The sequence below is a fragment of the Homo sapiens genome, chromosome 2 (assembly GCF_000001405.40).
Source record: "Homo sapiens chromosome 2, GRCh38.p14 Primary Assembly".
Classification (NCBI taxonomy): domain Eukaryota; kingdom Metazoa; phylum Chordata; class Mammalia; order Primates; family Hominidae; genus Homo; species Homo sapiens.
In genome coordinates, this window is record NC_000002.12 from 74,526,652 (window position 1) to 74,549,860 (window position 23,209).

The 23,209-nt window shown below is 50.3% G+C and overlaps 4 protein-coding genes across 19 annotated transcripts in view, besides 11 other annotated features; 2 read left to right on the forward strand and 2 right to left on the reverse strand.

The window, feature by feature from the left end:
* AUP1 (AUP1 lipid droplet regulating VLDL assembly factor) lies at nucleotides 1-3,055 on the reverse strand. Of its 3 annotated transcripts, none has more exons than NR_126510.2 (12): nucleotides 2,929-3,055; nucleotides 2,711-2,848; nucleotides 2,481-2,631; nucleotides 2,100-2,284; nucleotides 1,766-1,838; nucleotides 1,597-1,670; nucleotides 1,289-1,355; nucleotides 1,085-1,187; nucleotides 820-939; nucleotides 597-712; nucleotides 290-470; nucleotides 1-185 (listed from the first exon to the last, which is right to left on the reverse strand). NR_126510.2 is itself a non-coding variant. In NM_181575.5 (12 exons), exons 1-12 carry the CDS (start codon nucleotides 2,976-2,978, stop codon nucleotides 149-151), a joined length of 1,233 nt encoding a protein of 410 aa, NP_853553.1. In that variant the 5' UTR covers nucleotides 2,979-3,055; the 3' UTR covers nucleotides 1-148. The 3 variants fall into 3 exon arrangements, 1 of the variants encoding a protein (NP_853553.1); NM_181575.5 differs by having other exon boundaries at nucleotides 290-408; NR_126511.2 differs by having other exon boundaries at nucleotides 290-408; nucleotides 2,100-2,631.
* Nucleotides 2,499-3,328: an enhancer, noted in NCBI's record as "active region_16071". NCBI's record gives its function as "activates an Ori minimal core promoter by ATAC-STARR-seq in GM12878 lymphoblastoid cells {active_cell/tissue: GM12878}" and the evidence as "EXISTENCE:reporter gene assay evidence [ECO:0000049][PMID:35858748]".
* Nucleotides 2,499-3,448: a biological region, named in NCBI's record as "H3K27ac-H3K4me1 hESC enhancer GRCh37_chr2:74756279-74757161".
* Nucleotides 2,501-3,383: an enhancer, noted in NCBI's record as "H3K27ac-H3K4me1 hESC enhancer chr2:74756279-74757161 (GRCh37/hg19 assembly coordinates)". NCBI's record gives its function as "activates a minimal SCP1, AML or CMV promoter by ChIP-STARR-seq in naive H9 embryonic stem cells {active_cell/tissue: H9 hESC(naive)}" and the evidence as "EXISTENCE:reporter gene assay evidence [ECO:0000049][PMID:30033119]".
* HTRA2 (HtrA serine peptidase 2) lies at nucleotides 2,754-6,905 on the forward strand. 8 transcript variants are annotated; one of them, NR_135772.1, is made up of 9 exons: nucleotides 2,754-3,261; nucleotides 3,790-3,861; nucleotides 3,966-4,170; nucleotides 4,260-4,454; nucleotides 4,688-4,720; nucleotides 4,946-5,051; nucleotides 5,205-5,274; nucleotides 5,968-6,063; nucleotides 6,169-6,905. NR_135772.1 is itself a non-coding variant. In NM_013247.5 (8 exons), the coding sequence occupies exons 1-8, from the start codon at nucleotides 3,356-3,358 to the stop codon at nucleotides 6,332-6,334; spliced, it is 1,377 nt and encodes a 458-aa protein (NP_037379.1). In that variant the 5' UTR covers nucleotides 3,282-3,355; the 3' UTR covers nucleotides 6,335-6,668. The 8 variants fall into 8 exon arrangements, 4 of the variants coding, with proteins under 4 accessions (NP_001308656.1, NP_001308657.1, NP_659540.1 ...); NR_135770.1 differs by having other exon boundaries at nucleotides 3,794-3,861; NR_135771.1 differs by having other exon boundaries at nucleotides 3,810-3,861.
* Nucleotides 3,359-3,448: a silencer, noted in NCBI's record as "silent region_11668". NCBI's record gives its function as "represses an Ori minimal core promoter by ATAC-STARR-seq in GM12878 lymphoblastoid cells {active_cell/tissue: GM12878}" and the evidence as "EXISTENCE:reporter gene assay evidence [ECO:0000049][PMID:35858748]".
* Nucleotides 3,839-3,968: an enhancer, noted in NCBI's record as "active region_16072". NCBI's record gives its function as "activates an Ori minimal core promoter by ATAC-STARR-seq in GM12878 lymphoblastoid cells {active_cell/tissue: GM12878}" and the evidence as "EXISTENCE:reporter gene assay evidence [ECO:0000049][PMID:35858748]".
* Nucleotides 3,989-4,058: an enhancer, noted in NCBI's record as "active region_16073". NCBI's record gives its function as "activates an Ori minimal core promoter by ATAC-STARR-seq in GM12878 lymphoblastoid cells {active_cell/tissue: GM12878}" and the evidence as "EXISTENCE:reporter gene assay evidence [ECO:0000049][PMID:35858748]".
* Nucleotides 4,089-4,168: an enhancer, noted in NCBI's record as "active region_16074". NCBI's record gives its function as "activates an Ori minimal core promoter by ATAC-STARR-seq in GM12878 lymphoblastoid cells {active_cell/tissue: GM12878}" and the evidence as "EXISTENCE:reporter gene assay evidence [ECO:0000049][PMID:35858748]".
* Nucleotides 4,179-4,388: an enhancer, noted in NCBI's record as "active region_16075". NCBI's record gives its function as "activates an Ori minimal core promoter by ATAC-STARR-seq in GM12878 lymphoblastoid cells {active_cell/tissue: GM12878}" and the evidence as "EXISTENCE:reporter gene assay evidence [ECO:0000049][PMID:35858748]".
* LOXL3 (lysyl oxidase like 3) overlaps nucleotides 5,607-23,209 on the reverse strand; it is a 23,445-nt gene continuing 5,842 nt past the window's right edge. For 5 of the 7 annotated variants that reach the window (XM_011533134.3, XM_024453176.2, XM_024453178.2 and 2 more), the window contains 11 exons: nucleotides 22,718-22,932; nucleotides 10,058-10,277; nucleotides 9,640-9,820; nucleotides 9,345-9,499; nucleotides 8,937-9,104; nucleotides 8,641-8,803; nucleotides 7,880-8,123; nucleotides 7,665-7,780; nucleotides 7,449-7,585; nucleotides 7,231-7,342; nucleotides 5,607-7,028 (listed from right to left, as the gene is read on the reverse strand). In XM_011533134.3, coding sequence (XP_011531436.1) covers nucleotides 6,955-7,028; nucleotides 7,231-7,342; nucleotides 7,449-7,585; nucleotides 7,665-7,780; nucleotides 7,880-8,123; nucleotides 8,641-8,803; nucleotides 8,937-9,104; nucleotides 9,345-9,499; nucleotides 9,640-9,820; nucleotides 10,058-10,277; nucleotides 22,718-22,932 — 1,785 coding nt within the window. In that variant the 3' untranslated portion in view covers nucleotides 5,607-6,954. Of the gene's footprint in view, nucleotides 7,029-7,230; nucleotides 7,343-7,448; nucleotides 7,586-7,664; nucleotides 7,781-7,879; nucleotides 8,124-8,640; nucleotides 8,804-8,936; nucleotides 9,105-9,344; nucleotides 9,500-9,639; nucleotides 9,821-10,057; nucleotides 10,278-22,717; nucleotides 22,933-23,209 lie in introns of those variants that run through there. The other 2 variants (NM_001289165.2, NM_001289164.3) reach the window with 2 other exon arrangements.
* Nucleotides 9,827-10,328: an enhancer, noted in NCBI's record as "H3K27ac hESC enhancer chr2:74763605-74764106 (GRCh37/hg19 assembly coordinates)". NCBI's record gives its function as "activates a minimal SCP1, AML or CMV promoter by ChIP-STARR-seq in naive H9 embryonic stem cells {active_cell/tissue: H9 hESC(naive)}" and the evidence as "EXISTENCE:reporter gene assay evidence [ECO:0000049][PMID:30033119]".
* Nucleotides 19,395-19,564: an enhancer, noted in NCBI's record as "active region_16076". NCBI's record gives its function as "activates an Ori minimal core promoter by ATAC-STARR-seq in GM12878 lymphoblastoid cells {active_cell/tissue: GM12878}" and the evidence as "EXISTENCE:reporter gene assay evidence [ECO:0000049][PMID:35858748]".
* Nucleotides 22,126-22,445: a silencer, noted in NCBI's record as "silent region_11669". NCBI's record gives its function as "represses an Ori minimal core promoter by ATAC-STARR-seq in GM12878 lymphoblastoid cells {active_cell/tissue: GM12878}" and the evidence as "EXISTENCE:reporter gene assay evidence [ECO:0000049][PMID:35858748]".
* The window catches only part of DOK1 (docking protein 1), an 8,447-nt gene continuing 7,691 nt past the window's right edge, over nucleotides 22,454-23,209 (forward strand). Inside the window, exon 1 of the mRNA NM_001197260.2 lies at nucleotides 22,454-22,521. The gene's annotated coding sequence lies outside the window, so the exon portion shown is untranslated. The remainder of the gene's footprint in view (nucleotides 22,522-23,209) is intronic.

The window sequence follows — 23,209 nt, forward strand, 5'->3', positions numbered from 1 at the left end:
TTGAATGAAAACCATGAATTTAATGTGACATTGGGGGAGCCTCATCCTTCCCTTTTTACCACCCACCCATCCAGCCTGTTGTGAGTTGGGTGAGGGCTGCCCCCAGTCTCCGTCCTGCGGCTCTGGGTGCCATCCTGTTCCTTTGAGCTCAGTCAGCCTCCTGGGCTCGTCTCTCTGTGAATCTCCTGTGGGACATAGGGAGAGATATTATTCAGGCTTTGCCGTAGTAGCTCCATAATTCCATTCTCCAATTTGCCACATCCTATTAATTGTCCTCTAACCCCCTCACCTTCTTGCGTATTCATATAGTGCTTGCTTGCGCTCCTGCAGGCTCTCCTGCCGGGCCCAGGAAGACTTGGCAAATGTTAGGGCTGTTGGCTGAGGGGTCACCGGGCCAGAGCTGGGAAACTGAGGTGATCACAATGTCAGAGGGCTTGCGGAGTCATCATCATTAAACACGCATCGAATGCCTACTTTGCAAGAGAGGCACTATGCTAGGGTCTCAGGATCAAAAAAGAAAGGTCAGGGATAAGGGAGTACATAGCCTGCCCCCAACTCACCCCAACACTTGGATCTGACCATTTCCTGGGTCTCACCTTGGAGGCAGAGGCTGTGGGTAGGGACTGAGTTCCCTTGGTGATGTCTTCAGGCATGAAAGCTACGGCCCCCTCAAGCAGATTAGTGATAGTCAAGTCTACACAGCCAGTCTTGGCTGGGGAGAAAAGAGAAGGGAGTCCACTCCCTACTTACTTTCTTCCTTCACAACCCACTTTTCCTCCCTGTGCCCATCTCCCAGTGTGGGGCCACCCTTTCCCATACCCAGGTCTCTCTGGATGACACCCAATGGCACATGGGGCAAAACTTCCTTGACTCTCTGAGCCAGAGTTGCCAGTTGCACATCAGGAGAAGGACCAGGGGAGGGAGGGAAAGAAGACTGGGCTGTGGAAAAAGGAAAAAAAGAAAAAAGAAATTCTGGTAAGTAGAGAACTAGAAGGAGAGGCTAACTAGCACAGAAATAGGGGAGGAATCACAGTAGGCCGAAAAAAAAAAACCCCAAAAGCTGTAATGTATAGAGACCACATACCTGACTGGGGGCGCAATCTGGGGTGTCTTTGTCGCTTCATGTGCTCTGCTTTGTCAGCTGGAGTGAGCCGTGTCCCTGTCTGGCCCAATTCCTTGGCCACCAGCTAGGGAGAATTGGAAGACTGGAAGTGTCAAGATCTCAAGCTTTCCTCCCTCTCCTCCTAAGCAGGGACCCCGCCTCCACCCTGTCTGTGCACCCGACCACCTGTTGTACACGGAGTGCAAACTCCTCATTCGCTTCCCCTAGTTGGCGATGAACAGGACGAAGCCACCTGCAAAGAAACAATCCAGGGCTATGTTGTGGGCACCCAGGGTAGAGGCTGTCACCATTCCCCACTTTGGTACCTCTTTGCATGGTGGGTGGGAAAATAGTAAATACTGTAAATACTTTGTGTTGCCTCTGTGGTAGAACCTTGATATAAAGATCTACAAATGGACAGGGCAGAGGCCACTAATTCCTTGACCTTGAGGTGAGCCTCTCCCCAGCGACCAAAATGTGAGGACAGTTAATACCTTACTTGATACACCGTGAAAGGGACGAAAAGTGACCACAGCAGTTCTGAGACCCAGGAGGCATCTGACACCGTCTGAGGGGAGGGCATGAGATGAGGCCTAAGCCAGGGCCAGGGATGGGAAATTTCCCCTTCAAGCCCCAGAGATTCCCTGTTCAACACACACTCACCACAGAGACCAGGGGTCTCTGAACTTGCAGGGTAAGAGGTTGTACCACATCTTGGATAGAAAATGGCCAGGAACTAGAAGAGGAAGGAGAAAGTAGGATGGGAATCCAGCCAGCCTAGTCAGCAGCTCACACCTGCCTTATAACAGGCAACTGTCAAACTCTACAAGCACATAATTGAAGAATGAAGGGATTCAGGAGAAAGAACTTAAAGTGGACAGAAAGGAAATGAACTGGAGATGATGGGGTCTAAGGGCCGAAGAAAGTTGTAAAAACTCAAGGGCCCACAAGCTTGACCACCTACCCAGCTGGCGCCCCATACCTGTGCTAAACCCACCTGAAGCGCAGGAGCCCCTCCCGGCCATTGGTGGCCTCTTCCTCAGGGAATAGCAGCAGAGGAGTGGGGGGAAGCCTCGTGGAAGCACAGAATCTCTTGAGTGACTCCACCAACTCCCCCCGCCCATTCATCTCCATGAAGCCCCGAGACCAGCACACAAAGCTGGGGGGACTATTGAGTAGAGGCTGGGAACCAGGAGAAGAGAAAGCAAGAAGAAAAATATTGAGGAAAATGAAAAAAAAAACTGACATGTTGGGTAGAGGATCGGGGTTAGGGGTAAGGCTCAGTATCCTCCATGGGGAACGCGAGTGGGGACAGGGGGGCCTTCAGCTGGGCCCCAGGGAACCGCCCCGTGGCGCTCTCGGCCTCGCTCTCACTCACGGTGCTACAGGTGGTAAGCAAATTGACTATGTTGTGGTCGAAAGGTGTCACATGGTTGGAAATGAGGACCCTGACACTGTGATCCCGGAGTCCGGAGTCCTCCTGCCGGGCCACGAGCCCTAGCACCGCACACATGGTCCGCACTACGAATCTGGGGACACAGGAGGTGGTGACTGTGTGGCCTCGGGCCAGACCCAGCTCTGACACTCCCCGAACGCCCGCGTCGGAACCTGCGAAGGACGCTGTCTGGCAGCGCGCAGCTGACCAGGAAGACGTGGATCCCGAGAAAGAGGCGCAGGACGAGGAGGCAGAACCCGACTGGCGCGTAGAGCAGCAGCACGAGCAGTAGGAAGCAGTCACCCGGAAGCCTGGGGGCGAGAGGCGAAGTGGTCAGGCGCCGAAGGCCGAGAGCACGCGGGGATCGGTCTCTTCCCGCCGGGTCTCTTACCGGTGCGAGTCAAAGAGCCGCTCCGGCCCCGGCCCTGAGGGAAGCTCCATAACTGCTGCTTCAGGAGCGCCCGGCCGTCGCCGCCGCCGCCATTTTCGCGCCCGGCCGCAGGGGCTCTTGGGAAGGCGGAGTCTTTGGGCATCCGCCCGGGGTGAGGGGACCCGAAGTCCTGAGGCGCGCCGGAAGGGCTAGCGGTCCCAGCATACCCCGCGGCCCCTTGGGCCGTCTCACAACTCGCGTCCGGCGGAGACCACAATTCCCGGCATTCGTGGGGCAGGGAGGAGTCGGCCTCCCGGAATCCTGGTCCCGGCGTGCACTTCTGAAGGACTTCAGGTACCGGCGTGCCCCGCGTCCTACTGTCCGCCTGCTCGCGTCCTGGGTGCCGCCTCTGAGTAGGGCGGGCGAGGAGGCAGCCAAGGCGGAGCTGATGGCTGCGCCGAGGGCGGGGCGGGGTGCAGGCTGGAGCCTTCGGGCATGGCGGGCTTTGGGGGGCATTCGCTGGGGGAGGAGACCCCGTTTGACCCCTGACCTCCGGGCCCTGCTGACGTCAGGAACTTCTGACCCCCGGGCCCGAGTGACTTATGGGACCCCCAGTCTCTGGGCCCGGTTGTCTGTTGGGGTCACTGAACCCCGAGCATGCCTGACGTCTGGGACCCCGGGTCCCCGGGCACAACTGACTGCGGTGACCCCAGATACCAGGACCCGGGAGGCCTCAGAGAACTCTGGAACCCGTTCGCGCGCGTGGCTGGCGGTGGCGCTGGGCGCTGGGGGGGCAGTGCTGTTGTTGTTGTGGGGCGGGGGTCGGGGTCCTCCGGCCGTCCTCGCCGCCGTCCCTAGCCCGCCGCCCGCTTCTCCCCGGAGTCAGTACAACTTCATCGCAGATGTGGTGGAGAAGACAGCACCTGCCGTGGTCTATATCGAGATCCTGGACCGGTAATGGTGGGGGTAGACCGGGAGGCACTGAAGCCACAGGCTGGAGGGCGGGCGGGTAGGAGGGGTCAGAGCCTCCTCTTATCTGTGCTTTCCCTCCATTTCAGGCACCCTTTCTTGGGCCGCGAGGTCCCTATCTCGAACGGCTCAGGATTCGTGGTGGCTGCCGATGGGCTCATTGTCACCAACGCCCATGTGGTGGCTGATCGGCGCAGAGTCCGTGTGAGACTGCTAAGCGGCGACACGTATGAGGCCGTGGTCACAGCTGTGGATCCCGTGGCAGACATCGCAACGCTGAGGATTCAGACTAAGGTGGGGGCTGGGGTAGGCCAGGTCTGGTTGGAGCTGCTTATTTGCTCGCATCTTCAGATGACAGGTCTCTTTTACCCATTCTCCCTTAGGAGCCTCTCCCCACGCTGCCTCTGGGACGCTCAGCTGATGTCCGGCAAGGGGAGTTTGTTGTTGCCATGGGAAGTCCCTTTGCACTGCAGAACACGATCACATCCGGCATTGTTAGCTCTGCTCAGCGTCCAGCCAGAGACCTGGGACTCCCCCAAACCAATGTGGAATACATTCAAACTGATGCAGCTATTGATGTGCGTCCTGATAGGAGAGAAATGACAAATGATGGGGGAGGGGGGAGAGGCTGTGTGGTACAAGCACCAACTGATATATGGTGGATGAGCCTATATAGAGCTTAGGCTGCAAAAATGTGGCCACTTATTCATGGGCTGAGAAAGAAGAGAATTTGGAGAAAGTACCTACATCCTGGTATGCCCCCAGACTTAGAATCCCCAGATCTCTTTCATGTTTTCTCCTTGTCCTACAGTTTGGAAACTCTGGAGGTCCCCTGGTTAACCTGGTGAGTGAGACATCCTTCCTTCCAAGAATCCCTGCCCCAGGTCAGTGTGGGAAGGGTAGGTTTCCCCTAATTCAAGGATGTTTGGTCAAGTTTCTGAGCAGTTCTTTGTTGGCTATCTCTCAATATCCAACCAGATCTCCCCAACACTTGCTGGTACTTTTGTTCGGGTGCCCCCATCCCCTACTATTTGTTTAGGCTAGGGAACTGGGGGCTGTATCCCTGCAGGATGGGGAGGTGATTGGAGTGAACACCATGAAGGTCACAGCTGGAATCTCCTTTGCCATCCCTTCTGATCGTCTTCGAGAGTTTCTGCATCGTGGGGAAAAGAAGAGTGAGCCTGCCTTATGGGGAAACGGGTTCCTTTAATGTGGTGGAAATAGGGGAAGGGCATTCAGTGGGACTTCCTGGAGGGTGGTCTACTGGGAGAAGAGGGCAGGGAAGGAAGGATGTAGCTGGGTGGGGCTCATTTGTCCCTCTGTCACAGATTCCTCCTCCGGAATCAGTGGGTCCCAGCGGCGCTACATTGGGGTGATGATGCTGACCCTGAGTCCCAGGTATGAGCTTTAGGGACAGTGACATGTAATGTGACCAGTGTAATCAGAGGGGGGCACCTCTATTGAGCTTTGTTCTCATTTCTGTCTTTATCTAAGATGAACTGTGTCACACTTGAAATAATCACAAGAGCTGTCTCCCTTCATCATCTTGACTTTCTTATCCCACTCCACTTTGTACACCTGTCACCAGATTGATTTCATCCTGTTACTGCTTTGATTTCAAGCCTTCAATCCATTAACTTGGCATTTAAGGGCCATTTTCCATCTGTCTGTAAATCAACTTTCTAGACCTGGCTGTAATACCTTCCTATATGAATACTCAGCCAACCTGATTTCCTACTCCCATGTTTTTTATTTATGCTGTTCTTGTTTTATATGGTTAATATCAGATCCATCCTTTTAGGCTCAACTTAAGTTCTTTCCCCTTAAAGCTTCTCTTAGTATTCTAGAATGACATTAGTGCTATTGATTTAACACTGTTTGTCATTTGGTGCCCTCATGTGGTGTACATCTTTTATGTACATGTTGCACTTTATTGCTAGAAGACAGAAAGTGAGTTGCCATTGTATTTTGTAGTACCTAGCCCATGTCCTGTCCATATATTTATCAATGTGTTGATGAGAGACTTGAGGTGGAACTCAGGATGGGGAGAATGCCTGGGTTTGGCTAATAGGGTGATCTGTGTACTTTCAGCATCCTTGCTGAACTACAGCTTCGAGAACCAAGCTTTCCCGATGTTCAGCATGGTGTACTCATCCATAAAGTCATCCTGGGCTCCCCTGCACACCGGTGAGGGAGAGGCTGCAGTGTGATATGGGGATGGGCAAGGTGTGCATGTGTCCTTGAACTAGGCTTTGTACTCCTTCCTTTCTCTCTGTCCATTTTTCTCTATAGGGCTGGTCTGCGGCCTGGTGATGTGATTTTGGCCATTGGGGAGCAGATGGTACAAAATGCTGAAGATGTTTATGAAGCTGTTCGAACCCAATCCCAGTTGGCAGTGCAGATCCGGCGGGGACGAGAAACACTGACCTTATATGTGACCCCTGAGGTCACAGAATGAATAGATCACCAAGAGTATGAGGCTCCTGCTCTGATTTCCTCCTTGCCTTTCTGGCTGAGGTTCTGAGGGCACCGAGACAGAGGGTTAAATGAACCAGTGGGGGCAGGTCCCTCCAACCACCAGCACTGACTCCTGGGCTCTGAAGAATCACAGAAACACTTTTTATATAAAATAAAATTATACCTAGCAACATATTATAGTAAAAAATGAGGTGGGAGGGCTGGATCTTTTCCCCCACCAAAAGGCTAGAGGTAAAGCTGTATCCCCCTAAACTTAGGGGAGATACTGGAGCTGACCATCCTGACCTCCTATTAAAGAAAATGAGCTGCTGCCATCTTTTGTGGGCAGTTAGTCAGGTGCTGCTCTTTGTGGTGTGGTGGGCTCTGGTCTGTTCTGCTCGGTGCTGGGCCTGGGAGCAAAGATTCCCATGCTTGGCTACAGATACTGACAGCTGGCCTCTGAAGGAGGGTGAAAACTTCTGCTTGACAGTTCCACATCCATAGTGCATGGTCTGATGAGTGCGGTTGCTGACATGGGTTTCTTGGTAAGCTCCTGAGGTAATGGCAGCCTCAGACCCCTGCCATTAGGGGCCAGTGGTGGTTTGCAGAGGGCAGTGGCACTTAGATAATCTGGTTGCTGGTCTGGCCAGGGTAGCGTTCAAACCTCCTGTTGGCCTCTTCACTGAAGGCATCACCTGCAGAGTGGACAGGCAATTTGGGAGGCGCCCTGCACAGAGGGAGGGAGATAGATGCACTGTGGAGAAGGGTGGGTAGAAGTGGAGGGACTGAGAGCTCTACAGGAAGGTGGGAAGATGGAGAAACAAGCTATGGAAAAGAGAATGAACGTCTTTCCCTCCCATCCCCTAATCTTCCTGGGTTGCTCTTCCCATCAAATACCAATGTGGCAGTTGTGCACCCAGATTCTATGTCCATCATATTTGCAGTTACATTTCATTGCATTGTTGGTAAAGTCACTCTCTGCTACTTCAAAGTTTGGGTTGATGACAACCTGTGAGTGAGAAAAAGGCCACTTAACCCAGCGACAATCCTCGAATTCAAAGGTGTCTTTAACGCTCCCCCCACTCACCCATCTGGAAGCCCCAGACTCCAGGTACCTGGAGAATGTAGTTTCCTGGCTTCACATCCGTGATGTCAATCCACTGACAGTCAATGTCATGCCGGTAGAGATCCCAGCAACCCACAGTGATGCCTTGCTCTCCAAAGTTGGCACACTCATACCGCTTGGAGACATCTGGAGGGATTGGCATATGTCAGTGTAAGGAAAGGCTGTGCAATGGATACCATGTGGTTCACTTCAGTCCCCAACTCACCCTCCTGACACTCAGTGTCTTCGAGACAGAAACTAGCTTTGTGGCCCTCAGCCACCTTGGTGCCATTTGGGGTGAGGATATCATAGTGAGTGAAGATGTCCATGCTGTGGTAATGCCTGTGGGGAGAAGGGAACTTCTGTTTCCTTCTCTGCCCCCAGAAGGTTTGCCCCATCCCCCGTGGTCTTGCCCTTCTACTTGACTCCCTACCCTCTCACCCATGGCACTCGTGCCACACCCAGGAGTGGCGCCCAGCCTTGGGCCTGAAGTCAGCTCGTCCCAGGTTGTGGATCTGGGAGGAGAATCGGAGCAGACGCCGGTGACCATAGGGCCAGTTGGCTGAGCGGGCTGAGCTGGCCAGGCAGTTCTCTTCCGCAGCACAGTACAACATATGCAGGGGCCGGTCTTCGATGTAGGCGGTCTCCTGCACCAGTGCTGAGTGCAGCAACAGATCTGATGCAGCTGCACCAAGAAAGGAAGGGGGTGTTAGAAGTCACTGCTGACTTCACAGAGAGGGGTGCTTCCATCCCTCCCTAGTGTGTAAGACTAGTTTTTTGTTTTTGTTTTTGTTTGTTTGTTTGTTTGAGATGGAGTCTCACTCTGTTGCCGAGGCTGGAATGCAGCGGCGTGATCTTGGCTCACTGCAACCTCTGCCACCTGGGTTCAAGTGATTCTCCTGCCTCAGCCTCCCGAGTAGCTGGGATTATAGGCGCCTGCCACTGCGCCTGGCTAATTTTTGTAGTTTTAGTAGAGACAGGGTTTCACCATCTTGGTCAGGCTGGTCTTGAATTCCTGACCTCGTGATCCATCCGCCTTGGCCTCCTAAAGTGCTGGGATTACAGGCGTGAGCCACTGCACCCGGCGAAACTGGCTCTTTTATGGGGAAGAAGTGCCCCTCCAGATTACAGCCCCCTTTCCCTGCAAACGGGTGGCCCAGACACTCCCTTCCCTGGCATGCATCACCCCCTCCTTCACTCACTCTCAGAACAGATGACTCCAGCAGTGAAGCGGGTCCCTGTCCTCTTGCAGGTGATGTGGGTGCCATGATGGGCACACTGATCCAGGGACAGCTCAGTCCCTGTGCAGCGCACTCCACTCATCACCACCTCTGTTATATTCCCAGAGTCCCAGTACCAGGTCTCCTGGGGACATATGCAGATGTTTCTGTAAGGCCCAGGATCCAGCATCTTGGGCCAAGGGACTCATTCCTCAGCCCTCTGCCCAAAACACAGGCTTTGAGACAACAGCCTCGGCTCCCCTTTCCTTCCCACTCACCTGCAGGCCGTGGTTGGCGTAGCCCAGACCCAGTTGCCTACAGGCCACCATGGCCTCCAGGGTCCCCCAGTCATCCCCACAGATGAGGCCCCAGCGAAGGGGCCCAGGTCCCCCTATTTGCACCTCGACTCGCCCCTCATGTTGGCTGCGGCCCCCACTGAGTCGGATCTGTAGTGACACAGAATGGAAGCGCTGGAGAAAGCTTTGGGGTGAGGTAGTGGGAGTCTCTAACAGATGTGGCTGAAGCGTGACTCAGGCACATAATGGGCTAGCAAGTGATGGGTCAGGTGGGAGCTGCAGGAGGGCAGGGGCCTGGGGCAATGGGCTGGGGGCCATTGGACTGTAGATTGGAGACCAGACCTGGATAGGATGAAAGAGACCTCAACCAAGGTAGAGAGGATGACTGACCCTGGTCTCTGCCCCAGTGTAAGGTAGGTTGCACCGGACCCCGGCATCCTGGCTATGTGAACAATCCTCAGCTGTGATGTTCTTGTGGGGGCACTTCCAGAGGGAGAGCTCCTGTCCAGAGCAGCGAACTTCACTCAGGTGGATAGCACCCATGCCTAGGGCCAGATGGCAAAGATCAGGAAGTTGTAATTAAGCATATATTGTCTGCCCAGGGGACACCTAACCTTCCGAAGGAATATGCCCCCCAGGAGCATGTACCTCCTTCCCTCTCCCTCCCACCTCCATGCCACCTCACCCTGCCCCATGCGAGCGCCACTCAGAGCTTCTCGAGCACTCCCGAAGCCCAGCTCCCGACACACCACGCTGGCTGCATGCAGGTCCCACTTGCGGTCACAGACTGTGCCCCATGTGCTGGCCTTCAGGACTTCTACCCGGCCCTCTCCAGGGTGGGCGCCGCCCTTTAGACGGACACGGGCCTATAGAAGAGAGAAGTGCCCAACAGAGGCAAATGGCAACATCTGCACGGAGGGCTAAGCAGACCTGGGAGATGAGTGAGACTTTGGTGGAAGGGAGTGGGTGGTATCAGGTCTGTGGCCCACCCCCTGGAAGGCTCCTCTCTGTCCTCAAAGGTCAGGGCTGTGCTTAGTCTGGGGTTGCCAGGCTAGGGGTTCTCCACCTGGGGTGGGAAAGGTCATAATCACTGTCTCACACACCTCCCCCTGAGGCTTCGACTGTTGTTGCTTCTTCTGGCCACTGGATGCCGCGTAGACAGGGCCTGGCACACAGCTCACCACTGCAGGGCCCCCCCCAGGGCACCTGGCGGTGTCATTGGCACGATAGAACTCCAGGGAACAGAGGGAGAGGTGGGCCTCCGTGCCCACGCACGCCACCCCATGCAGACCAAAGGAGTGTTGCTGCCGTTGGGCTAGCAGCCTAGGGGGACAGGAGTGAGGTGCAGTAGGGTAAAACAATGCTCCTGCCTCTTGGCCCCACAAACATCCTCCCACTTCATGCCTCCACCATGCCCCCCACCCTTTTGTGACCATTTATCTCCTCTTCTTCCCCCTTCCATGTTTCCCTCGGGAGATACATGGGGATTGCTGAGTTTCCAGGCTGAGGGAGCCTCAACTACCCAGATAGGAGGGGCCTTGGGGACCTCCTGCAGTAGAACAACCTTAAGAGAAGGATGGCTAGTCTCGACTTGCCTGGAAGAAACTGTTCCAAGTGGTTTCAGGCTGCTGGCCCTAAAGGAGGCTGAGGCTAAGGCCTCAGGGAAGGGGAAACCAGGACTTTCCAGTTGGAAGAAATGGCCAGGAGGGAGTGGCTGACACAGGAAGCCTGAAAAGCCAGGGCGAGCAAGTCCTTCTGTGATGCTGAGACTGGAATAACTGAATGAGTCAGGATGCAAAGGACTAAGGAAGTCTCCCATCTCCATAGCTCCGCAGAGGCCAGAGACTCTGCAGGACAGATTAGGAGGGGCAGATGCAGCAAGAACAGACCAGCAGGTAGACGCAAGAAAAACTGGGACTGGCATATGCAAGAATGAAGATGTATAAATGCAGGACAGGTCAAAGTTTGAGGGAATAAATGACCAGAGAAAGGAGATGGATGTGAACAACAAAATGGCAAAGACATCCCAGGACCTGTGCTGTGTAAGTCTTTAAAAAGGCAGTCCATGCTTCTGCAATTTCAACGTAACAGTGTCCCAAAGCCATCTGAATAGGATAATGGGACTGAACTATAGATGCTAAGGCTTGGAAATGCTGCCGAGATGTTTGAGAGAATGGGGGGACTTCTTTATCGATACCAGTAGAATGAGAGGCTGCAGTGAGGCACGTGCCAGAGTGAAGTACACTCTGCCCGCAGAGAAAGGGAAGAAAATGAGGTCTGGTGCTGGTGGAACGGGCCTGTGAGGCTGATGTAGTCATGCATTATTGCAATAATGTGCCCTATCACTTGATGTCAGAGGAAGGATGGAATATGATGACTTGAAGCCATTGGCTAGGAAGACACAGGAGGAGGAAAAGTTTATACACAAAACAGACAAAGGAAGCCTGGAGACTTTACAGAATACCTTTGGAAGCTCAGGATAAATGGATCCTGAAGATCTAAGAGATCAGGCACTCTCCCACAGTCCTGTTTGGCTGAAAGTAAAAGTCAAGGAGCCCATCACAGGAAAAATACATCTATCTTCTAAACATCCTCATTCCCGTTGTCTACAATGAACAAAATAAAAATGGCAGTGTGTACTTTAATGTGCAGGTCAGGGAAGGCTAGAGTGTGGCCATGTTGGGCAAAGATGACCCTAAGCTAGAAGGGCACTACAAGAACATCCCCAAATTTCTGAGATCCTTTGAAACCACCAGAGAAGCTGGGGAATGAGGGCTATGAGGGGACCACTGGGTGAGACTAGAACTTGTTGAGAACAGGAGGGGAGAAAGGGATGAATTATCGATACTTCAGTCCCTCTTGAAGTTATCAGGGAGACTTTTAATGTGCAAACTGCCTTTTGAAGACAAGTTAGATGTAATTACAGGGGTTGGAAGCTTCCCACTTCGAGTTCTAAAGGAGCCCAGGAGGAAAATTAGGGAACTGGGAGCCTAATTGTGGAAAATGAGCCAGAGAGGCAGGGGCTGTCAATCTGACTGCATTCCTGGTAAAGGTTCCAAAGGGGACGCTGAGTTTCCCTCCATCTCGAGTAAGCTGGTAGCACTTATTTTTAACAACTAATCAAATAAAGCATTTGATTTGGGAACACTGATCCTTTAGGCAAATGTAACCTCTTACAGGAGACGCAAGTATGGCGTCTGAAAGAGAAAAGCACCATGTTGTCTCCTGGAACTCAGCAGGGGAAGATAAGTAAACATGTGGAACGAGGTAGTCAGTGAGTGAAAAAACAAATCCTAGGACAAGCATCATTCCTGAGACCAAGGTAAGGACCAGTCTTGCGTAACACTTCAGTAAATGCCCTGGAAGGTGATTTCTAAGAGCTGCTGCTGCTCCTCCTCTTGGTCAGCTCTTTCAGCCACAAAGGCCTCCTGGACCCCCTCCCTCCCTGGCCACAGCCGAGTAACTCCATGCTCCCTCTCCTTTCCACCCAACCTGAATTTTATTTACCTCTTGTGTGGCCCCCTGACCACTCGGGGTTTGGGTTTGACTTTAAGCTTGGTGATTGGTCCGCAAAAAGGAGAAGGAAGTTGGTAGAGGTAGTGGTTACATATGTGGCGCAGGAAAGGTACAGGGTTATTTTTCTGTTTCTGGGAAAGACCCTTTGTGGGCAGCATGGGGATGGGAAAAATGAAGATTTTCCGCATCCACCGTCTGCTGAACACCATTGAACTGCATTTCAGGAACTCATGCTGCTCTCTGGATTCAGCAACAGTAATGGGAAATCTAGCGATGTCAATCCAGGTGGGGGAGTTGGGAAGGGGAGAAGGGAAGAGGAAAGGTGGAGAGGGGAGAGAATGGGAATGTGGGTGAACTAAGGGAGGTGATGGAGGGGGCAGGAAGGAGGAAGAATGAAGGTGGCTGAGGCTGGAATCCAAGCTATTTGGGGTAGGTGTAAAGATGGGAGGCTTCTCAGCCACTCCTACATTACTTCCTCCTTGTGTTCCCTAAGATCAAAGCTTGCCCATCCCCATGCCTGCTCCCTTCACCTCCCTGCAGGAAAAGCCATTTTCCTCACATCCCTAATCCATCAGCTTGGGTTCTGGGATGGACATGGATGGCTGCCATCCATCCATCCACCTCCTGGGGCCGCAGGGCGAGCAGGAGGTCCCGGGGCTCTTGCCCCATACCTTCCAAGGGGCTTGGGGTGTCGGGCTGAGACCTTGGCCGCTCGCTTCCTCAACTTTCTGTGAGGATAAGACAACAGTAGTCAGGGTTAGTGTAGAACCAAGTGGAAAAGCTGGTGCAACTAGGACCAGGGGCAAGATTTCTCTTCTAGCAGTCCGAAGGCTTCCTGGTGGCAGGATATTATAACAGCAGACACTCCTGAGACCCGAGCTTTCTTTTTTCTTTTTTTTGTATTTTTAGTAGAGATGGGGTTTCACTATGTTGGCTAGGCTGGTCTCGAACTCCTGACCTTGTGATCCACCCGTCTTGGCCTCCCAAAGTGTTGGGATTACAGGCGTGAGCCACCGCACCTGGCTGAGACCCAAGCTTTCATAGCTGCTTGGCCTCTTCAGCACATGACCAGGTGGGTGAGCAGAAGTGAAGGCCGTGGACTCAGGACGGTGCCCCCATGCCAGCACCCTCAGAAATTAGCTAGGGCAGATGGCAAGTAAGGACTCCTGAGTCCAGATGTTAGTGCTAAACCTCAGTGGAGGGCTAAGGGGAGCATCGTTAGGATTGTTAAGATTGCCAGACTGACCAGGCTAGGCGGCAGAACTAGCCTGAGTCAGGCCTAGGGAGGCTACTGTGTCTTTTTTTCCTGGATGCTCTCTTTGAGAAAGACTCTGGCATTGTTCAGGCCTGAGGCCGCTGGACCAGGACCAAGAACCAAGGCCGAATATCCAAGGGCGTTAACTTGGTTTGACTGGGGAACACAGGCCAGGCTCCTTACAATGACACCACCCTTCCTGCTGAAGTTCCAATCCCATATGCTGTGGTCATTCACAAACTGAGTTCATCTCCCAAACTTACTTCCAGGGAAATAAATAATTTTTCCTTTTTTTTTTTTTTGGTCTTTGAGACAGGGTTACTCTGTCACCCAGGCTGCAGTGAGCCATGGTGCAACCATGGCTCACTGCAGCCTTATCTCCTGGGCTCAAGTGATTCTCCCACCTCAGCCTTCTGAATCGCTGGGACCACAGGTGTGCACCATCATGACTGGCTAATATTTGTTAGAAGCAGGGTCTCACTATGTTGTCCAGGCTGGTCTCATCTCAAACTTCTGAGCCCAAGCTATCCTCCTGCCTTGGCCTCCCAAAGTGCTGGGATAACAGGCATGAGCCACTGAGCCCAGCCTTAGTTGTCCTTTCTTTGAACATGTTCCTGCTCCGCTGTTTCTCTTGAGGAGTCATATTTCAACATAGTACAGCTGGCCTTCCATATCCATGGGCTCTGCATCTGTAGATTCAACCTCCATCTGTACTGAACACGTACCAACTTTTTTTCTTGTCATTATTCCCTAAGCAATAAAATATAACAACTACTTATGTAGCATTTACATTATGTTAGGTATTATAAGTAATCTAGAGATGATTTAAAGCATACAGAGGATGTGCATAGGTTATATGCAAATACTATAGCATTTTATATCAGGGACTTGAGCATCTTTGAATTGTGGTATCCTTGGGAGATCCTAGAACCAATCCCCCATGGTTACTGAGGGATGACTGTTTAATGTGTGAAGACACCTTGGGATTTAAATATACGTATATATTTTAAACCAGTCAGAAGCTGTTTGATATTTTCTGCCTCAGCTTCTTCCTGAGGATGTACTTAGTTGGTCTCTTTGCCAAAGTGTCCAAAGTGTTGGACATTCCTGGCAAAGAATATACAACTCTCAGGTCCCTTTACTGAGACATTGCTAATAGTTAGACTCTTTCATCTTATAAATATGGTGTGAAATTTTTTCTCCAAATGTCTTTTTCTCAAACATGTCTAAAATGTCTAAAATGAAATACACTTGGCCTCTTCACCAATCAACCTGGAGAGTTCACCTTGATCTCCAGAGTAGTACTAAAACATTTTGGTATTATCTAGAAATTTAGAAGTACCTCTTCTCTAAATTATTTAAGGACCTTATATCAACAGGTCTTTGTATTATTTATATATATATATACACAAACATATGTAATCTTATTTCATATTTATATAAAAGAGTTTAGACCCTTTTATCTTATAAATATTTTATATATAAAATTATATATAAGTTATGTTAAGGACTTTGTCCTCATTGAGGACCAGTGCTGTTATTTGTCTTGATTTAAATTTCTTCATTCACAGATGTGTTTGTTTCCACCTACCATTTGTTCCTTCCTTCAGCCATCAAACATAAAAACCTATGTAGGCCAGGGGCAGCGGCTTACGCCTGTAATCCCAGCACTTTGGGAGGCTGAGGCAGGAGGACTGCTTGAGCCCAGAAGTTTGAGACCAGCCTGGGCAACACAGTGAGACCTCGTCTCTACAAAAAATTTAAAAATTAGCCGGGTGTGGTGGCTCGAGCCTGTAGTTCCAGCTACTCAGGAGGCTGAGATGGGATGATCGCTTGAGCCCAAGAGGTCGAGGTTGCAGTGAGCCATGATGGCGCCACTGCACTCTGGCCTGGTCAACATAGAGAGACCCTGTCTCAAAAACAAGGAATCAAACAAACAAACAAACAAACAAAGAAAAAACCCAAAACAAAAACCTGTCTACATTTGCATATCCTCTTCTCATACCTTTCAACTATTTTTCTTCTCTAAGTCTACTGTACCTAAATGTTTCTAAATTCCATCTCTTACAATTTTTCTCAGTCCTGCATACCATTTCTTTTTCTCAACTGAATCCTTTTAAACATTCAAATCACTCCTACACATGCACACACACACACACACACACACCCTCTACTTATCTCTCCTCCCCTTCACAGTAACATTTCTCAAGAGCTGTCCATACTTATCATCTTTATATCCTCTCTTCCTACTTTTTTTTTTTTTTTTTGAGACAGAGTCTCGATCTGTCACTCAGGCTGGAGTGCAGTGGTGCAATCTTGGCTCACTGCAACCTCCGCCTCCTGGGCTCAGCAATTCTCCTGCCTCAGCCTCCCAGGTAGCTGGGATTACAGGCACGCACCACCACAGCCAGCTAATTTTTGTATTTTTAGTAGAGACGGAGTTTCATCATGTTGGCCAGGCTGGTCTCAAACTCCTGATCTCAGGTGATTCACCTGCCTTGGCCTCCCAAAGTGCTGGGATTACAGGTGTGAGCCACCATGCCCAGCCTCCTCTTACTCATTTTTCAACCCACTTCCTCTGGTTTTCCCTACCTATCACTCTGCAAACTTCTATTTTGTTAAATCCAGCAGACATTTTTCAGTCTTCATCTTAATGACCTCTCTGCAACATCTGACTGTCCTCTCTTTCCTTGGCTGCTATAACACTACAATATCCTGGTTTTATTCCTAATTCTGCTTATTATTATTATTAATTTCCAGAGTGGCTCCCCAGGGAGCAGGGCTGACTCCTAGGCAGTGTGCCTAGAGCCGCCTACTCCTAATTCTGGTTGCTCTTTCTTGGTCTTCTCTGCAGGCTCCTCCCCTATCTGGTCATTAAAATTTGTGGAGCTCTTTCTTAGGCATTTTGTTCTCACTTCATATAGGGCCCTCTATATGGTCTAATTCACACCTAGTGTATTCATAATCTTGTCTATTTCATTGCCTTCTTGATGTTTCTAGGTAGAGATCTGAAAGTAATCTGAAATGTAATGTAGGTCCAAAAAAAAAAGATAATTATCTCAGTAAAATCCACTCCAGAAACCTAGGGGTCAATCCTGACTTCTCCCTTTCTTGGATCCCAAAGTCAATCAATAACCAAGTCCTGTCAATTTTACTTCTAAATATCTCTCCAATCCATATCTTTTGCTCCTCTCCTGATTATTCTCAGAAATAGAGTCAAAGGCGGGGCGTGGTGGCTCATAGCTGTAATCCCAGCACTTTGGGAGGCCAGGACAGGCAGATCACTTGATCTGATCCTGAGGTCAGGAGATCAAGACCAGCCTGGGCAACATGGAGAAACCCCATCTTTACTAAAAATACCCAAAAATCAGCAAATTAGCTGGGCATGGTGGCGCGTGCCCGTAATCCCAGCTACTCGAGAGGCTGAGGTAGGAGAATTGCTTGAACCCAGGAGGCGGAGGTTGCAGTGAACCAAGATTGCACCAGTACACTCCAGCCTGGGTGACAAAGCAAGGCTCTGTCTCAAAAAAAAAAAAAAAAAAAAAAAGAAAAGAAAAGAAAAAAAAGAAATAGATTCAAATGATCTTTTGGAGTCACAAACCTGATCATGCCATCTCATAGCCCTCCCCATTAAAACACTTCAATGGCCGGGCACGGTGGCTCAAGCCTGTAAGCCCAGCACTTTGGGAGGCCGAGGTAGGCGGATCACCTGAGGTCAGGAGTTCAAGACCAGCCTGGCGAGCATGGTGAAACCTCGTCTCTACTAAAAATACAAAAATTAGCTGGGCGTGGTGGGCACCTGTAGACCTAGCCACTCAGGAGGCTGAAGCAGAAGAATCACTTGAACCCAGGGAGGTGGAGGTTGCAGTGAGCAGAGATTGTGCCACTGCACTCCAGCCTGGGCAACAAGCCAGACTCCCTCTCAAAAAAACAAACAAACAAAACAAACAAACAAACAATCCAAACATCAAAGGCTTCCCAATCCTTTTATCATAAGGACCTGAATCCTTATGATGGCCTATAAGGTCTTCTATGATCTGCAGCCTAATAACCTCTCTTGTCATTTATTCACCTTTGTATTCTCAGCACCTTGCACAGTACTTGGCAAATAGGAGTTCAATAAACATCTGTCAAGCTGAAATGAACTAGAAGAGTGACTTCTTAAATAGCACTGAAGCTCTTAGAGCCTCAATTTCATTACCTGTAAAAGAGTAGTAAATAGTTCAATTATCTGTACATTCTTTTCTTATTCTAAAGTTCTACAACTTTTACATGTTCTAGGGTAGAACTACCAAAACAAATTGAAAAATGATTAATACATCAGGTTTTGATTTTCTCATTCCCTAAATCTTACTGACTTCCTCTAAAAGCCAGCAGATCCATTTTTTTTCCCTAAGGAGGGGAGAGTTGTTTACAACTGTCTTGCCTATCTTTCATAATTGTAATAATTGTATCACCTGTGAGAATGCTCCCTCTGCTGGGCCTGACCTGTGAAGGATCTAGATCATAGCCCCATCACAGAATCTCCCAGGGCTCCCGCAATCTCTTTCCCCACGAAGAATGGCCTCTGTGCTTTAGTGTATCTCTTTCTCCAGCCTTTATATCCCAGACTTAGTATGAGATTCCGATATGTCCAACAAATATTCCTGATCCCTAAAACTTATTTCAGCTTTGCATACCTGGGGACAATTCCTGTGTCTCAAACTTTCCAAGGACAGCCCATCTCTAAAGCTAGTTCATATTAACCTGAAGCCCAGAGATGGCTGCTGGTACCATCCTTCTCTCAGGCAGCATCGGAATCATTTTAGGTGTCTGTTCTCTCATTCTCTATGTTCTATCAGTCATCCTACATCTATTCATTTTCCTCCATCTTTGTTTTTACCCTCCTGATAAGCTTCAATTTTAGAACAAACTCCTGACTGGTCTTACTGCATCAAGACCCTCCTCTCCTCATCCACTACTATCAGGCAAACTTTCAAAAACACTGGCTTTATTCTTGTCCCATATAAATACCTTTATTTGTAATTTTTCTATAAGGCAAAGGCCAAACTCTCCAATTTGGCACCTAAAGCATTCCATTTTCTGGCCTCCCTTTATCCAGATCTTCCACTATTTCTCAGTATAAACCTACTCTTGCTAACTTACTGTCTTCCAAATATAAACCATTCATTATCATCTCTGTTGGGGCCAACAGTGACTTTACTGTTGCTAAATCCAGCATTTGTTTCTCAGTCCTCATGTTTTTAGGTCTGGGCAGCACTGACTTAGCTGGTCACTCTCTCCTCTTCGAAGCACTTTACTTGGCTCCCAGGCCACCACACTCCCCTGGTTTTCTTCCTACCTCACCTCACTGTTTGCATTCATCTTATCTTCTGACTTTTAAATATTTAGTCTCCCCAAGGTTCAGTCTCTGGGCCTCTCTCTGTCTTTTAAATTTACATTCACTTCCTTGGTATGTTGTCCAGTTTCAGGACTTTATATGTTTTACTCAACTGAACTCCAGAGTCCTATATTAAATTACCTAACTTAGCCTCGCCACTTCAATGTCTTAAAGAATCTTAAATTTAACAGGTCTAAAACCAAGTTCCTACCCTCCACCCCCAAGCCCATCTCCCAACAAAACATGCTCCATTCACTGTTTTCCTTGTCAGGTGAGGCCAATTTCTTACTTAGCTGAGGCCAAAAACCTGGAGAGAGCCTTAACTCCTCTCTCTCACATCACACTGAATCCATCAGCAAGTCCTATAGCTCTGCCTTCAACTGTCTGTAAATCTTGATCATTTTTCACCACTTTCACTGGTCACCATCACCTTTCACTTTCTTTACGTGGCTTTCAGAAGACAATAACCCCATAACCAGCCACCTGACTTCTTGCTTCTACTGCATCCCTTACAATCTATTCCTAATAAAGCAGTGAAAGTAGTACTGAAAAAAAAATGGAAGCCCGATGTCACACCTCTGCTCCAAGCCCTCCAGTGGTTCCTTATCTCCCACAGAACAAAAGCCATCCTCTCCCAGATGGCCCGCAGGATCTGGCTTCCCATTCTTTTCCGAAGACCACCTACACTGCATCTCCTACCATTTTCTTCTTTTTCACTCAGCTCCAGCCACAGTGGCCTCCAGGAGAAGGAGAGGCCTTATCCCATCACCCACTACATACACACACAGGCACACACACACCCCAGAATATTTTCATTTTTGATCCCTCTTCCTAGAAATGTTTATCTAGAGGTCTGCATAGCTTGTGCCCTCACCTCCTTTAAATCTTTTCTCAAATGATGCCTTCTCCAAGAGGCCTTCCTTCACCACTTATTTATTTACTTACTTACTTAATTTATTTTTATTTTATTTTTATTTGAGACGGAGTTTCGCTCTTGTTGCCCAGGCTGGAGTGCAATGGCGCGATCTCAGCTCACCGCAACCTCCGCCTCCCGGGTTCAAGCCATTCTCCCGCCTCAGCCTCCCGAGTAGCTGGGATTACAGTCATGCGCCACCACACCCGGCTAGTTTTGTATTTTTAGTAGAGATGGGGTTTCTCCATGTTGGTCAGGCTGGTCTCGAACTCCTGACCTCAGGTGATCCGCGCCTCGACCTCCCAAAGTGCTGGGATTACAGGTGTGAGCCACCGTGCCCGGCCTTAGTTAATTTATTTTTTGAGACAGGGTCTTGCTCTGCCACCCAGGCAGTGTAGTGGCATGATCACAGCTCACTGCAGCCTTGACTTCCTGGGCTCAAGCAATCTTCCCACCTCAGCCTCCCAAGTAGCTGGGACTACAGGCACGCACCACCATGTTCAGCTAATTTTATTTTTAAAAAATTATCTGTAGAGACAGGGTCTCATTATGTTGCCCAGGCTGGTCTCGAATTCTTGGGCTCAAATAATGCTTCCACCGTGGCCTCCCAAAGTCCTGGGATTATAGGCATGAGCCACGGGTAGTGTCTACAACAGTACCTGGCACATAGTAAGATCTCAGTAAATAAATATTGGGTGAGTGGATCTCTACACCTTTGTTCACGCTATCTTCTTCACTGGAAATGTCTAAATTCTACGCATCTTTCAGAACATGGGGTTTAAATTAGGGAAGGTAAGCAGCACAGAGAAGGAAATGCAGCCCCAAGATGGATGAAAGTAAAGAGGCACAGCACGTTTGTTTTAAAGTGGTTTGAGTGTCCAGGCCAGATAAAGTACCGAAAGTCCTCAGTACTGAAAGACATTTCAGATGAGCCTCAGAGCCAAGGCAAAGAAAGTGTGAGCAGGTATAGAAAAGACTGGAGACTGGATAATATCCTGACTTTCAAAAGAAAAAAAAAAAAGGAGAAAAAGGATTCCTCAATTCCTCAATCTACACATAAGTAATATTCTAGAATAAATTATTAAATAGAAGTTTGTAAGCATTTAGGAAAAAATAAGGTGATTCTTAGAGACCTAAAAGGATTTCAGTAAAAATAGACTCAAACTACTATGATTTTCTTTTTTGACAGGATTACTAAATTGGAAGGCTGGAGAATGGCTGTGAACATAGCATATCTGGATTTTATCAAAAACTAACAGAATCTCCCATGATTTCATTACAGATAAGAAATATATAGATAGATAAGGTGAAATGTTGGTTACATCATTGAAGTGTTCTGTTTCTTCCCAGTTGGTGGAAGGAACATATTTTACAGCTGATGATTAGAAGCTTGATGAAAATCTACAGGAACATTTTGCAAGAAGAGTTAGACTTTGGTTTTAAACATTTCCACAACAACTTTTAGCCATTTGGATGAAGCCAGAAGGCAAAGCTGCCATGTCTGTTCAGCAGAGGAGGCTGAGGGGAAATGACAGATGGAAAGTCACATCAGGACTCAAGATAATCTCATGGGATCATCATGGCTTTTTTATGGCTTCTAAATTATGTATCAAAACAAATGTAATAGGTAAACGTCACCTATACCTGGGTTGGAAAAGGCTGCTCTATCAGTAGGAAGCATAGGGAAGACCTGAACTGGTTTTAAGTGATGACAAGTTCAGTATAAGCAGTGGGAAGCTGCCGCAGTAGGAAGACAGTGTAATCCGAGCACGCTTCAGTCGGGGTTGAGGATTTCTACAGTAGCTGGCGGCATCAGACCCCATCTGAAGTAGTGTGCCCGCGGAAACCTATCCGGACATCAAGAGGCCTTTCAGCAATACTGATCTAGGGAACCACTGAAGAAAGGGAGGATTTTTGGCTCGCAAAATAGATTACAGTGAGAGGGTGTAAAGATTTCCAAATAAATGCCTGGCTGTCAATGGCAGTTTCTCAAAAAGATCAAAGTAGATGTTCCAGGGAAGGGAGACGTTAAGCACAGGCAGTTTCCAGGGTGATGCGTTTCCCTGGAAGCCGGACTGGACCCCAGGGCTCCAGCGCAGGTGGAGAGGTTGGGCCTCGCCAAAAGAGATCCTGGGAAACTTCCAGGACTTCCAGGAGCCCCGAGGGCTCGAGCGTTCACATACGCGCCCCGCCCCGGGGCGGCCCGGGCAGAGAGACTGGCGCGGTCTCTCCTGGCGCCCTTCGGCCATCGCGCGCCGCCGTCCCCGGGCCCCCGGACCCTGGGCGCCCAGCCTGCGCGGGACACACCCAGGCGCCGCCTCCCAGGGGCGGCCGCGTCCTTACTGAACTCGGAAATCGCTGGCCGGCAGCGCCAGCGCTGGAATCGCCCCCGCGCCTGGGAGTGGCCTCGCGAGGCCGGCGCGCGCCCCGGGGCCGAGGAATCCGCCTGCCCGCCCAGGCGTCGGCCACGAGAGAGCGGGAGCCTCGCTGGTCCCCATTTCAGGTACTCCCTTGGGGCACCTTTCGTGGTCCCACAAGATTTCCCAACTCTCCAGCTTTGCAACGGCCTCCATATTTTCCCGCGCGTCCCGACCCCCGGGTCCTCCCGTGCCCCGGACCTGCTCAGATGTCTCCCAAGGCTATTCATCAGGGAGCACCCCAATCCCGGCCTGCTCCGCCCGGCGCCCGCGGCCCCTCACCTGTAGAAGGCCGCGTTGACCCTCTTTTCGCTGGGGAAGCCCAGCATCCCGCAGACCACGTGGCTGTTGTGGGCGCTCCAGCCTTTGTCGCACACTTGCGACCAGCCGTCAGGAAGCCTGACTTCCACCAGCCCCTCCGTCACGGGCAGGGGTCGTCTGCCCCACCCAACGGCGGGTCGAATTCGCACCTCCTCCACTTGCAGGTGATGCTCTACCTGGGGGCGGGGCCACAAGCAGGGAAAGAATCCCAGTGGCACCTTTCATGTGTCCCGCCGCCCTTAAGGAACCCTGCTTGGTGTGCCTGCTGTAAACCCAGTGGCGGGATGGGCCCGAGGCGGCGCTGAGAGAGCGGCCACGATGGCCGCAGTCCGCGGTGTGGACTCTCTTGCAGCCAGCAGCGCGTGGGATGTGCTGTGCTCCCAGAGAGGATTCAGGGCACTAGGAAGGAGGCCCTCCCTGTGCCTGGAGCAGGAGGGAGCACTTCAAAAAGGA